Source organism: Homo sapiens, chromosome 19 (genome assembly GCF_000001405.40).
Source record: "Homo sapiens chromosome 19, GRCh38.p14 Primary Assembly".
In the NCBI taxonomy this organism is placed as follows: domain Eukaryota; kingdom Metazoa; phylum Chordata; class Mammalia; order Primates; family Hominidae; genus Homo; species Homo sapiens.
Genome location: NC_000019.10, coordinates 14,821,187 through 14,835,370, shown reverse-complemented (window position 1 = coordinate 14,835,370; position 14,184 = coordinate 14,821,187). Strand labels below are relative to the sequence as shown.

The 14,184-nt window shown below is 41.4% G+C and overlaps 2 protein-coding genes across 6 annotated transcripts in view; both read left to right on the top strand.

Annotated features, from left to right (window-relative positions):
- Positions 1-185: 185 nt before the first annotated feature.
- OR7A5 (olfactory receptor family 7 subfamily A member 5) lies at positions 186-9,130 on the top strand. Of its 5 annotated transcripts, NM_001370481.1 has the most exons (4): positions 186-297; positions 1,279-1,394; positions 2,060-2,220; positions 7,117-9,130. In NM_001370481.1, exon 4 carries the CDS (start codon positions 7,130-7,132, stop codon positions 8,087-8,089), a length of 960 nt encoding a protein of 319 aa, NP_001357410.1. In that variant the 5' UTR covers positions 186-297; positions 1,279-1,394; positions 2,060-2,220; positions 7,117-7,129; the 3' UTR covers positions 8,090-9,130. The 5 variants fall into 5 exon arrangements, with proteins under 5 accessions (NP_001357410.1, NP_001357412.1, NP_001357411.1 ...); NM_001370483.1 differs by lacking the exons at positions 1,279-1,394; positions 2,060-2,220 and adding an exon at positions 6,786-7,014; NM_001370482.1 differs by lacking the exon at positions 1,279-1,394.
- Positions 186-14,184, top strand: part of OR7C1 (olfactory receptor family 7 subfamily C member 1) — a 36,671-nt gene continuing 22,672 nt past the window's right edge. The window contains exon 1 of the mRNA NM_001370485.4: positions 186-297. The gene's annotated coding sequence lies outside the window, so the exon portion shown is untranslated. The remainder of the gene's footprint in view (positions 298-14,184) is intronic.

Genomic DNA, 14,184 nt, shown 5'->3' with positions numbered 1-14,184 from the left:
AAAACAATGTCCCACAGGGACATAATGTACTCAGGGTTTCAAATAACAAGAAGAAATGTGCCTATTGAGCAGATGTGGGAAGCTATAAATATTTCATCTGCTGTTGTCCCTCAGGCACCCCTGGGTTGAATGGAATATCATTGTTTCTTTTGAAGTCCTAAGTCTAGCTCAGAGACAGATGCTTGACTCTTTCCTGCTGCCTAGTCTGCTGAGCAGAGCTTCAGTCTCCACCATCAATCATCCAGTGAGGAATTTGCACTTACACAAGGAACTCTTCCTCGGAGAGATCCCCTCCTGGTGAGTTGGAGAGCCCAGTGGGAACTGCAGGAAAACAATAGATGGAATAGATGCAGAGAATATTTACCTGAGATCACCTGAGAGCCAGTCCAGCCTAGCCCAGAGCCAAGATATTGCTGCGGTTATTTGCTTGGTTGATTAATTAACTAAGTAATGTCTCGTTTTATGATGCAAAAAAAGAAAAGTGAACACTGAACTAGGCAATGCAAGGGTGACGACTATTGACATTTAGTGAAGGTCACAGAAGCCCAATTAGAAGGAATAGGAGGTGTAAAATGATTTTTGTAAAAGTACAACATACATCTTTGTAATTAAGGGGAGTAGAGAAATCGTGTATTGGCTGTGGAGGGATATACAGTCATGTAAAGACATTTCCTTTTTACTTTTAAAATGGAGCATATTTCAGTTTGATTCTATGCCCGTGAGAAAAATCCAGATGAACGGATTGCTTGCAAATACCATTTTGCAACAGCAGTTCATAATGCGTATATTTTGCAGGATTTTCTCTTACGCTAGGTATTCAGATAATACAAAATATTTAATAGGTGAGAGACTATGTACTAATGAGCTGTACTTGCATTTATTTCCTCACTTGCGTGGCTGAATATATTTGTGTGTTGTTTAGGCCTGTGATTTGATGCTTCTAAACAACTCACAGTGTATAGGATAGACTTTATCAAAGAGAGTGATCTAGCCCAGAATATCAATAGTGCTGAGATTGAGAAACACTGTGGCGAGGAATATCTGCTGGCTTCCTGGTTTTTGGAGTTTTGTTGTTTGTTTGTTTTTTCTTTGAGACAGAGCCTCACTCTGTCGTGCAAGCCTCTGTCCATGCTACTACTGGAATGCAGTAGCATGATCTCAGCTCACTGCTGCCTCAACCTCCTTGGCTCCGGTGATCCTCCCACCTCAGTCTCCCAAGTAGCTGGAACTACTGGTGTGCACCACCATGCTAGGCTAATTTTTGTATTTCTTTTGTAGAGATGGAGTTTCACCACGTTGTCCAGGCTGGTCTCGAACTCCTGGGCTCAAGCAATTTACTTGCCTCAGCCTCCCAAAGTGCTAGGATTGCAGACGTGTGCCACCACGCCCAGCCTGTATGTGTTTTTAATATTTTATCTGTCTGGAGATTGTTTCCACAAGACATTATGACACTTATTTCTGTCACCAAAATTAGAGTACCCGTTTGCCATCTGTTTAAAAATTCCAACACAAATCTATGACAGCTGAGAAAGTTCCCCACTCCATCCCCGCTCAGGCTGATGGACGTGAGATTTCTTACTGTTTTCTTAAAATATTACTGACTTTGAGCAAATATTCATATATTTGATCAAGATCTTGATTGCCTTATGTTTACTATATGCCCATTTTTATACAGTTACCAGCGTTTAAAATTATTTTTTTCAATGATTCTTTTTCAGTTGACTTTTGGGGAAATTTATTAGCCATAAAAAGTTTAAAATATTCTTTAGTTAAATATATACCTATCATCTTACTTCTGCAATTATTGCCTTAGTTAAGGTGATTTGCCCACCCACAGATTTCATATGTAGTTTCCCTGTTTTCATGGAAAAGGCATTGTTTACTTTTTTTTTGAGACGGAGTCTCGCCCTGTCAACCAGGATGGAATGCAGTGGTGCGATCTTGGCTCACTGCAACCTTCGCTTCCTGGATCCAAGCGATTCTCCCACCTCAGCCTCCTGAGTAGCTTGGACTGCAGGCAAGTGCCACCATACCCATCTAATTTTTGTATTTTTGGTAGAGATGGCGTTTCGCCATATTGCCCAGGCTGGTCTTGAACTCCCGACCTCAAGTGATCCACCCACCTGGACCTTCCAAACTGCTGGGATTACAGGCATGAGCCACCGTACCTGGCCGATATTGAAGTTTTTAATTCCTCTGACTTTGTGTAAGATGTGTGAGGTAGGTGACCAATTTTATTTATTCCAGACAAATAGCTGTTTATGACAGCATTTATTTAAATATCCAATCCTTTCTAACTAAATTGAAATACAAGCTTGCTGTATATTAAATGCCCATGTATACTGAGAACAAAGTCCTGATTCATTCAGCAAATAATAACTGAGCATCTGCTCTGTGCAAGAGTTTTTTATGAACAGTGTATGCCATATTCTTTTATATCTAGATTTTTGCCAATTTATTAATTTATGTTGATATGATTAAATTATTATTATAGCATGTCAGTTAATTTTCAATACTTCAACAATTTTATTCACTACAGTTGATTATATTTAACCTGGTTTTATTCTCCTGCCATTCTTTCTAATTTTATAATTCTTTTTTTAATAATGCATACATCGTCACATCTTTTTATGAAAATATGAAGGTAGCCAGGCACTGTGGCTCAGGCCTGTAATCCCAACACTTTGGGAGGCCGAGGTGGGTGGATCACGGGGTCAGGAGATCGAGACCATCCTGGCCAACATGGTGAAACCCCGACTCTATTAAAAATACAAAAATTAGCCAGGTGTTGTGGCTCATGACTGTAATCCCAGCTACTTGGGAGGTTGAGGCAGGAGAATCGCTTGAACCCAGGAGGCGGAGGTTGCCAGTCAGCCGAGATCGCGCCACTGCACTCCAGCCTGGTGACAGAGCAAGGCTCCATTAAAAAAAAAAAAGAAAAGAAAAAAGAAAGAAAGAGAGAGAGAAGGAAGGAAGGGAGGGAGGGAGGGAAGGAGGGAAAAAAATACATAAGTGAACATCCATGGTAACATCCCTGCTCATTTTGACCTTGTGCTATAATGGTGAAAATACAGTAGAATTAAATAAAGGTGCATGATGCAATGTCATAAGGTGTAAATCAAATAAAGAATATTTCTTAGTGTAAAATAATAGAATTGTCAGGCCAAGCGAGGTGACTCATGCCTATAATTCCAGCACTTTGGGAGGCCCAGCTGGGAGGATCACATGAAGCCAAGAGTTTGAGACCAGCCTGGGCAACAAAACAAGACCCTGTCTCTACAAAGCATGAACAAAATTAGCTAGGTATGGTGACACATGCCTTTCGTCCCAGTCATTCAAGAAGCTGAGGCATGAGTATTATATAAGCCCAGAAATTTGAGGCTGCAGTGAGCTATGATTGCACCACTGCACTCCATCTTTAGCAAGAGAGTAAGACCCTATCTCAACAATGAATAAATAGAATACAACAGAATAGAATAGAATAGTCATGACGTGTGCAAAATTTAATATGTAATATGGTCTGGGCAGGCATTTTCATGTTGGACAAAGACCAGAAACAAGCTCATTGGATTTGTCAAAAAAGTGATCAAAATTCAAAGTCCACAAGTAGCAAAAAAAAAATAAAATAGGCCAGGCGCGGTGGCTCACGCCTGTAATCCCAGCACTTTGGGAGGCCGAGGCAGGCGGATCACGAGGTCAGGAGATCGAGACCATCCTGGCTAACATGGTGAAACCCCATCTCTACTAAAAATACAAAAATTAGCCGGGCACAGTGGCGGGCACCTGTAATGCCAGCTACTCAGGAGGCTGAGGCAGGAGAATGGCGTGAACCCGGGAGGCTGAGCTTGCAGTGAGCCAATATTGCACCATTGCACTCCAACCTGGGCGACAGAGCGAGACTCTGTCTCAAAAAAATAATAATAAAATAATAAAATAAAATAAAGGCCACACAGGAAATACAAGAAAAGTGAGAAAGGGACTGCTTCATCCACTCTCAATTCATATAAAAACCAATTGATCAAGTAAATATGGAATAGGCACAGAAAAAAATGAGTCTTTTACTGTTTCATATAAAAATGCCCAAATCTTGTCATTGTTTGTATGTTTCTTTTTGTGAATTGTTGGCTTATTCTCTTTGCTCCATTTTTCTATTAGGATATGCGATCTGTACCTTTGTTGCCAAAAAAGGTATCATTAGTTTTTGTCATGGGTAGCAGCTATCTGGGGCCGGCATCATGTAGGCAGTAAGAATTTACCAAGACAGTTGTAGATAAAGAAAGGCAAATTTAATTAGAGAAAGGATAATAATACATTGCAAGGGTGCAATGGGCAGGTTAGCAAGAAAGGAGCTGACTGCAAGGAGGCAAAGGCTTGCTGGGGATTTTATAGGATAGTGCTTGTGCTGCGAGCTGAAGAGGGCTTTGTGCGGTACTGATAATGCCAAGGTTGCAGTGAGCTAACTTGCATTTTTCCATCAGCTGAGGGTCAGGTGATAAGACGGGTGCAGGAAGATTGTGAGTCATTGGCACACGAGGGTTGTGTGTCCTGGACCATGAAGAAAGGCAGACTTAGAGCTTATCTATCTTCTCTTTTTGTTTTTCCCTGCTTCAGCCAGCCTGACTCCATTTCCCTAATTAGGACTCCACAGTCTTGTCTTTTGGATAACTTTATTTACTTATTTCTAGTTCCAAAAGGAAAGCTAAAACTTTAATAATCATTAAAACCGACATAATTAAATACTATTGTTAAATTAAAAACCATGAAGTCAATAAAGATGTCAGAATTCTTTATTTTTGATCTTTTATTTATTTTGCCAGGCATCGAGGAGATACAATGGAAGCTGAAATGTAACCATAACCAGGGTCGCTTTTATTTTCCATCCTATAAGATCCCCAGCAAGCCTTTGTCTCCTTGGAGTCAGTTCCTTTCTTGCTAACCTACCCGTTGCACCCTTGCAATGTATTTTTGTCCTTTTGCTGAGGGATTACCTGAGTTTATTAGACTTTTTCCTTACTGGGGTCTGTTTAATTTCTCTCACTCTGTTTATTGAACAGCTCTTTTATGTTTCTTTAAACACAGGGCTGAAAACAGTCATACCAAAATGGAAGTCCAAGTTTACATGTGTATACAGACTTGTGAACTGGAATTTCTTGTACCAATTCTACATTCTGTAGGGAAAAAAGAATCTGATATTAAAAGCTTTCCTTGAGCCAAATGCAGTAGCTCATGCCTGTAATTCCAGCACTTTGGGAGGCCAAAGTGGAAGGTTCACTTGAGGCCAGGAGTTCAAGACCAGCCTGGGCAACATAGGCAGACCTGGTCTCCACAAAAAATGTAGAAATCAGCCAAGGGTGGCGGCACATGGCTGTGGTCCCAACTACTTGGGAGGCTGAGGCAGGAGGATGGCTTGAGCCTGGGTGGTTGAAGCTGCAGTGAGCTATGATCACACCACTGCACTCCTGCCTGGGCCCTCTTCGGCCAGTGTGCTGCATGTGTATATGTGTGTGTGAGTGAGTGTGTGGCTGCATGTCTTTGGAGTGACAGCAGGTTTCAGAGCAAGAGGGACCTGGCCTCAATATATTTTATTATAAAGGAGACCAATGAAACAGAGGCCAGAACCCAAGACACCAGAAGGAAATAAAGAGGGGATGCATTTCAATTGATGTGACACCTTTCTAGTCCAGTTAATAAAGTGCAGGTGCAACAGCATCTAGACAGATGGACACTTTGTCCCTTGATGTTTTGACAGCCAGGTCCCCTTATTCTGCAACATCCTCTGACACCATGTCCCATCACTCTCCGTCTTACTGATTCCCTGGCCACACTGGCTTCTGTGTTGGACTTGAACATCTGAAAGAAGCACGTCCCAACCAGGTGCAGTGGCTCATGCCTATAATCCCAGCACTTTGGGAGGCCGAGGTGAGCGGATCACCTGAGGTTGGGAGTTCAAGACCAGCCTGACCAACATGGAGAAACCCCGTCTCTACTAAAAATACAAAATTAGCTGGGCGTGGTGGTGCATGCCTGTAATCCCAGCTACTCGGGAGGCTGAGGCAGGAGAATCGCTTGAACCTGGGAGGTGGAGGTTGCAGTGATCTGAGATTGCGCCACTGCGCTCCAGCCCGGCAACAGAGCGAGACTCTGTCTCAAAAAAGAAAACAAGAAAGAAGCACATCCCTCAAAGTTTTTGTACTGCCATTCCTCCTGCCAGGCACCCACTTCAACAGATAACTTCATGAATCTTGCCCTGTCTTCCTTGAGATCTTTTTTCAAACATCACCTTGTTTGCAGGTCTTGAATAATAATCAGCAAACAAACAAACAAAAAACAAAAGAAACACTTCATACCCTCCCTCCTTTTTACCTGCTTTGTTTATTTTCCAAGCGCCTGTTCCCATCTGACATATTATGTGATTGTTTAATTTGTTTATATTCGATTGTTTAATTTGTTTATATTCTTTCTTCATCATTAGATTGTAGGGACTTTTGTTTCTCAGCATTGTTCACTCATTATCTAGACAGTGACAAGAACATGGTCAACATTCAATTTATATTCCTCAAATTCATAGAAGAAGTTCTCATTCTTTTTTTTTTTTTTTTTTTTTTTTTTTTTGAGATGGAGTCTCGCTCTGTCACCAGGCTGGAGTGCAGTGGCATGATCTCAGCTCACTGCAACTTCTGCCTCCCGGGGTCAAGAGATTCTCCTTGCCTCAGCCTCCCAAGTAGCTGGGACTACAGGCGCATGCCACTACACCAGGCTAATTTTTGTATTTTTACTAGAGACAGGGTTTCACCATGTTGGCCAGGATGGTCTCAACCTCTTGACCTCGTGATCCGCCTGCTTTGACCTCCCAAAGTGCTGGGGTTACAGGCATAAGCCACCGTGCCCAGCCAGAAGTTCTTATTCTAACTGCAGAATGTACGCTGTCTTCAGTTAAGGCTGAGAGTGGGAAGGAGTTCCTAATCAGAGATGACATGGAGATCCCTTAAAGAGAACCAGATTCATACACAAAATGTAAGATAATTTATTGGCTATAAAATATAAATGATGGTATTTCTGAAAGGTTAGCAATGCATGCCTGTCTCGTTTCCCTCTTTCTCTCTCTCTCTCTGATAGTCACTTCAATCAAATGGAACCAGGAAATGATACACAAATTTCAGAATTTCTTCTTCTGGGATTTTCACAAGAACCTGGACTGCAACCCTTCCTCTTTGGGCTGTTCCTGTCCATGTACCTGGTCACTGTGCTCGGGAACCTGCTCATCATCCTGGCCACAATCTCAGACTCCCACCTCCACACCCCCATGTACTTCTTCCTCTCCAACCTGTCCTTTGCTGACATTTGTGTTACTTCCACCACCATTCCAAAAATGCTGATGAACATCCAGACACAGAACAAAGTCATCACCTACATAGCCTGCCTCATGCAGATGTATTTTTTCATACTCTTTGCTGGATTTGAAAACTTCCTCCTGTCCGTGATGGCCTATGACCGGTTTGTGGCCATCTGTCACCCCCTGCACTACATGGTCATTATGAACCCTCACCTCTGTGGACTGCTGGTTCTAGCATCCTGGACCATGAGTGCTCTGTATTCCTTGCTACAAATCTTAATGGTAGTACGGCTGTCCTTCTGCACAGCCTTAGAAATCCCCCACTTTTTCTGTGAACTTAATCAGGTCATCCAACTTGCTTGTTCTGATAGCTTTCTTAATCACATGGTGATATATTTTACAGTTGCGCTGCTGGGTGGAGGTCCCCTGACTGGGATCCTTTACTCTTACTCTAAGATAATTTCTTCCATACATGCAATCTCATCAGCTCAGGGGAAGTACAAGGCATTTTCCACCTGTGCATCTCACCTCTCAGTTGTCTCCTTATTTTATGGTGCAATCCTAGGGGTGTACCTTAGTTCTGCTGCCACCCGCAACTCACACTCAAGTGCAACAGCCTCAGTGATGTACACTGTGGTCACCCCCATGCTGAACCCCTTTATCTATAGTCTGAGGAATAAAGACATAAAGAGGGCTCTGGGAATACATTTGTTGTGGGGAACAATGAAAGGGCAATTTTTCAAGAAGTGCCCATGATTGCAGGGCTCTAAGCTTCAGAGGTAGTAACTGTCATTCTTCAATCAGATAGTGGAAATAGAACTTGCTCCTTCTATTAATACTTATTATATTTCTGGGAGTTTCAATTTGTTGTGATTTCAACTGGTCTTGTAGAATTTAAGCAACTCCTTTTATTAAGCTTTCTGCTCTCTGATATCCAACAGTTTTTTCTCTTTGTTGTTTTCCTACTTTCTCAAGGTTATTTCCGACTTTGGATCAGAAACACTTTGGAGATTTCCATTTGTCTCATACAGGGAAGAGTTGTATGTCTCCTGTGGCATAGACTACACTTGGCAATTGGGGTAATTGATGTAAATTTATAGTGGAATATGACCTGAGACCACAATTTGTTCACTTTTGTATTCTTCAGTCCTATGTCTGTCTCTACCTTCAATGCTCCTCCTGATAATGTAGACCTGAACATACTTGTGTATTTTGCAGCTGGTCATGAGATTGTGTTGTCCTCATTAGGACATCATGTCTTTGTCAGTGCCATGTCCACAGTATCTGCCATACTCCCTGGCATAGTACGGTAAGGCAAAAATTGTTTATCAAAAATATGTTCCGAGTGCAATGCCCACTGAAAGACAAACTTGCATATGTTGATTAACTTAATATGGACTTACAGTCAGAGATGACCTTAAATATGATGGAGTAAAATTGTCAATCATACATTGAATTGCTATGGAAGACTTGTTTTTATGATGTGCATGGACTCATTGAAGTATGGAAGCTTAGTGCCCATATATAAGTTTATTTATTGGAGTGATGGATTTGGTGCCATGGTCTATAATGTTTCATGCATCCATACTTCTGTTTTTGCTTCAAAATTTTTAGTGCTCCCTACAAATACGAATCCTTCTATCCCACTAACCAAAATACCTCCTTCATTATAAAATTTTGTCGTAAACATTAAAGTGCAGGTCAGTGAACAATATTCAATGTATCATCAATTTATTCATCTCTTTTATGCTCTAAATTCTCTTAAATACTCATGATTAAAGAATGACTCACACAAAACCTTGAGCTTCTCCCCAGTCATGCCTCTGGGAATGGGGAATTGTGATTCAGGTGAAAAGGGTGACTCACACCAAACCTTTAACTTATCCCGTTATGTCTCTGGGAATGGAAAATTGTGATTCAGGTGCACAAATTATTCCTGCAAAAAACATACATCTCATTCTAACCTCTCCAGATCACCTAGATGGGGAATCTCAACAGTAGTCTTTTTTTTAATACAGTTATCTGAATTATACATGAGTATCCAGGGAATCATGAATGCTTCCAAGTATTAGAACAAATGCCAAAATAAGAAGCAGCAGACTATTCTGAATGTCCTCAGTCCTATTTGCAATGCTTATTGTATCAGTAAGCTATTGCTGAATAACAAGTCATCTCATAGTAAATGGTTTAAGATGATGCTTTTCTTGTCTCATAGGGAGTCTACGTTGGGGGTGTCTTCTGGTCTCTGCTGTCCTCCTCATGAAGCTGTAGTCAGCTGTGAGTCAACAGTAGGGCTTTGCTGATCTTGCCCGAGTTCTCTTACATTTGGAGGCTTGTTGGCTGTGGGCTGACCTAGGGTGGCCACAGTTGGGACAGCTTGCCAACTGTCTTAACATGGCTTTACATGTCCTCTCCTCCTAAAGCTGGCTGGCCTGGACTTGTTTGCATGGCAGAGGCAGAGTTACAGGAGAGAGCAACAGAAACATGCCAAGTTCCCTTGAGGGACACTCAATTCCACCATATTCTTTTGGCTAAAGCAAATGAAAAGATCCTGAGTCCATCGCCTCAAATAGTTACCTTTTTTGGTGGAAAGAGCACCTAAACTCTACTCTTAGAAAATTCACAGTGTACAGTATAATATTTTTAACTATAGTCGTCATAGTGTACATTAGATGTCTAGGCTTATTCATCCTACATAACCACAACTCTGTACGTTTTGACCCACATTTTCCCATTCCCCACTCCTCCCATTCTCACCCCTCCATAACCAGAATTGTACTCTCTATTTCTATGTATTTTACATTTTAAGCACAAGATCTCAATCTGTCACCCAGACTGAAGTAGAGTGGTGTGATGGTAGCTCACTGAAGCCTCGATCTCCCAGGCTGAAGCCATCCTCTTGCCTCAGCCTCCTGAGTAGCTGGAACCACAGGCTCACACCACCATGCCTGGCTCACTTGTTCATATTTTTAGTAGAGATGACATCTTGCTCTGTTGCCCAGGATGGTCTCAAATTCCTGAGTTCAAATGGTGATCCCATCTTGACCTCCCAAAATGCTGGGATTACAGGCATGAACCACCACCACACCTGGTCAGTATTTGACATTGTTTAGATTCCACATATAAGTGAAATAATGTAGCATTTTTTATTCCTCTCTCTGGCTTATTTCATGAGCATAATATCCACTTATACACTGTTGGTGGGAATGTAAATTAGTCCAGCCACTGTGGGAAGCGGTTTGGAGATTTCTCAAAAAACTGAGTTGAACTACCATTTGACCCAGAAATCCCATTATTGAGTATATAGCCAAAGGAAAATAAATCATCCTGCCAAAAGGACTCATTCACCCATATGTTCACTGTGGTGCTATTCACAATAGCAAAGACATGGAATCATTGCAGGTGCTCATCAATGGTGTATTGGATAAAGAAAATGTAGTATGTACACACCAGGGAATACTATGCAGCCATAAAAAAGAAAAAAACATGTCCTTTGTAGCTACATGGAGAGAACTCAAGGCCATTATCCTAAGTGAACTAATGCAGAAACAGAAAACCAAATACTTCATGTTCTCGCTTATAAGTGCGAGCTAAACATTGGGTACACACGGACATAAAGTTGGGATCAACAGACACTGGAGACTACTATAGTGGGGAGAAAGGGAGTAGGAAAAGGGCTGAAAAACTACCTCTTGGGTACTCACTACCTGGGTGATGGGTTCAGCCATACCCCAAACTTTAGTGTCACACAATATATCTTTGTAACAAACCTACACATATACCCCATGATTCTAAAATAAAAGTTGAAAAAGAAAGTTACCTCTTTGTTCTCTTTGGTTTCAAGGGATTCATGAATGCAGAGCCCCATCAACTCCCAGAGCTAAATAATTTAGGATCCTGTCCCTTGGGTGAAAGCCATAAAAGTTAGGGAGCTCCATGTATGGATACACTTATTATCTAGAAAATCTGGGGACTTTGTTTTATTATTCATGTGAATCAGAGGGGAAAAGGTAAATGGAAAGCACACTGTATTGGGGCACATTGACCAATGGAAAAGAATACAGAGCCCAGAAATAAATCCATGAATTTACAGCCAATTTTTATTTTTGACAAATTGCCAAAAAAAAAAAAAGCACAATAGTGAGAGTACCATCTCTTCAATAAACGGTGCTGGGAAAACTGGATATCCATATGCAGAAGAATGAAATTAGACCCTCATTTCACACCATATACAAAAATTAAATGAAAATAGGTTAAAGACTCAAACACGGATGAAACTAGAGGCCATTATCTTAAGTGAAATAACTCAGAAATAGTCAAATACTGCATGTTCTCACTTACAAGTGGGAGCTAAATAATGTGGACACATAAATATAGAATGTGGAATAATAGACATTGGAGACCCAGAAGGGTGGGAAGATGAGAGGGGGTTAGGACTGATAAATTACTTAATGGGTACAATGTACACTATTTGGGTGATGGTTACACTAAAAGCCCAGACTTCACCACTAGGCAAAATACCCATGTAACAAAACTGCACTTACACCCCTTAAATTTACACAAATTTTATTTATTTTTTATTTTTTTAGACGGAGTCTTGCTCTGTCGCCCAGACTGGAGTGCAGTGGCACAACCTTGGCTCACCACAACCTCCACCTCCCAAGTTCAAGCAATCCTTTTGCCTCAGCCTCCCGAGTAGCTGGGATTACAGGCACATGCCACCACGCCCACCTAATTTTTTATTTTTAGTAGAGATGGGGTTTCGCCATGTTTGCCAGGCTGGTCTCGAACTCTAGACCTCAAGTGATCTGACCGTCTCAGCCTCCCAAAGTGCTGGGATTACAGGCATGAACCACTGCACCCAACCAATTTACGCAAATTTTTAAAAACATTTAAGGATAACACCTGAAGCTATAAACCTTCCAGAATAAAATATAGGCAGAAAGCAGTAGTCTGGGCAATGGTTTTAAAATATACCCCTCAAAACACAGGCAACGAAAGTGAAAATAGACAAGTGGGATTACATCAAATTAAAAACCTTCTGCACAGCAAAGAAAACAATCAACAGAGAGGCAACCTATGGAAGGAGAGAAAACATTTGCAAACCACACATATGATAAGGGGTTAATATCCCAATATAGAAGAAACTCAACATCAAGGAAACAAGTAACCCAGTTTAAAAAAAAAAAAATAGGCAGAGGACATGAAGAGACATGTCTCAATAGAAGACATACAGCTGGCCAACAGGTACATGAAAAAATGCTCAACATCACTGATTATCAGAGAAATGTACATTATAACCACAATGAGATGTCACCTCAAACCTGTTAGGACGGCTATTATAAAAAAGGCAGGTGGCTGGGTGCGGTGGCTCATGCCTGTAATCCCAGCACTTTGGGAGGCTGAGGCGGGTGGATCACGAGGTCAAGAGTTGAAGACCAGCCTGGCCAAGACGGTGAAACCCCATCTCTACTAAAAATACAAAAATTAGCCGGCGCAGTGGCGGGCACCTGTAATGCCAGCTACTCAGGAGGCTGAGGCAGGAGAATTGCTTGAACTTGGGTGGTGGAGGTTGCAGTGAGCTGAGATCGCACCACTGCACTCTAGCCTGGGCGACAGAGCGAGACTCCATCTCAAAAAAAAAAAAAAAAAAAAAAAAAAAAAGACAGGAGATAAGTGCTGATGAGGATCTGGAGAAAAGGGAGCCCATGTACCTTTTTGGTGGAAACTTAAGGTAGTACAAGCATTATAGAAAATAGTTGGGGGTTCTCCAAAAAACTAAAAATAGAACTACCATATGTGTATAATCCCATGACTGCATATATAGCCAAAGGAAATGAAATCAGTATGTTGAAGAGATATCTGCACTTCCGCATTCGTTGCAACACTATTTACAAAAGCCAACATATGGAGTCAACCTCAGTGTCCGCCAAAGAATGAATAGATCAAGAATACGTGGTGCATATCCACAATAGAACACCACTCAGCCTTTAAAAAGAAGGAAATCCTGTCATTTGTGACCACACGGATGAACCTGGAGGACATTACATTAAATGATAAGCCAGGCACAGTGAAACAAATTCTGCACACTCGTACATGGGGAATCTTAAAATGATAATGAACTCATAGAAGTAGAAAGAAGAATGGTGACAATGGTGAGGGACATTTTGTGTTGTCCCAGCAATTGCTGATGAGGAAATAAAAGATACAGGGAGATGCTAACACAGGTGTGGAGGACACACTAGGAGAATGTTGTCCATATTCTGAGATTGGGACTGATTGAGGGGTTGTGCTATGGTACGTAAGATTTAAATAGCATAGAATGAATAAAATGCAGAAGAAAATATTCAAGCACATCATATATGATAAGGGTACCTACAAACTAGTTTCATGATACTCTTTCTTCAGCCACCTGTGTGTGTATATTTGCATGTGCAGGCATGCTGGCTCATGATGTAAAAGGTATTTCTTACTTTCAGACACAAAGAGTGTGGAATCCACTGCAGTAAAGGCGGAATAGTTTTGTTTTGTTTTTTGTTTTTTGTTTTTAAGGCAAGTTCCTGGGAAATGCAGCCTGAATGAAGAGCTCAAGAGAAGAGCCACACTGTTGGGAGAACAGGTAGCCAGCGTAGAACTGACATTATCTCCGGACTCCAGGGCCCATACCCTGAGCAGAATTTCATTGATCCACTTGCCTCATTACAGAATTCACATCAGACCCCTGATCTAATTGTTATTCCTGTATCTATTCCATATTTATGGACCACACATGTTTTGTTTTTGTTTTTATTTTTGCTTTGAGACAGAGTTTCACTCTTGTCACCCAGGCTGGAGTGCAATGGCGCGATCTC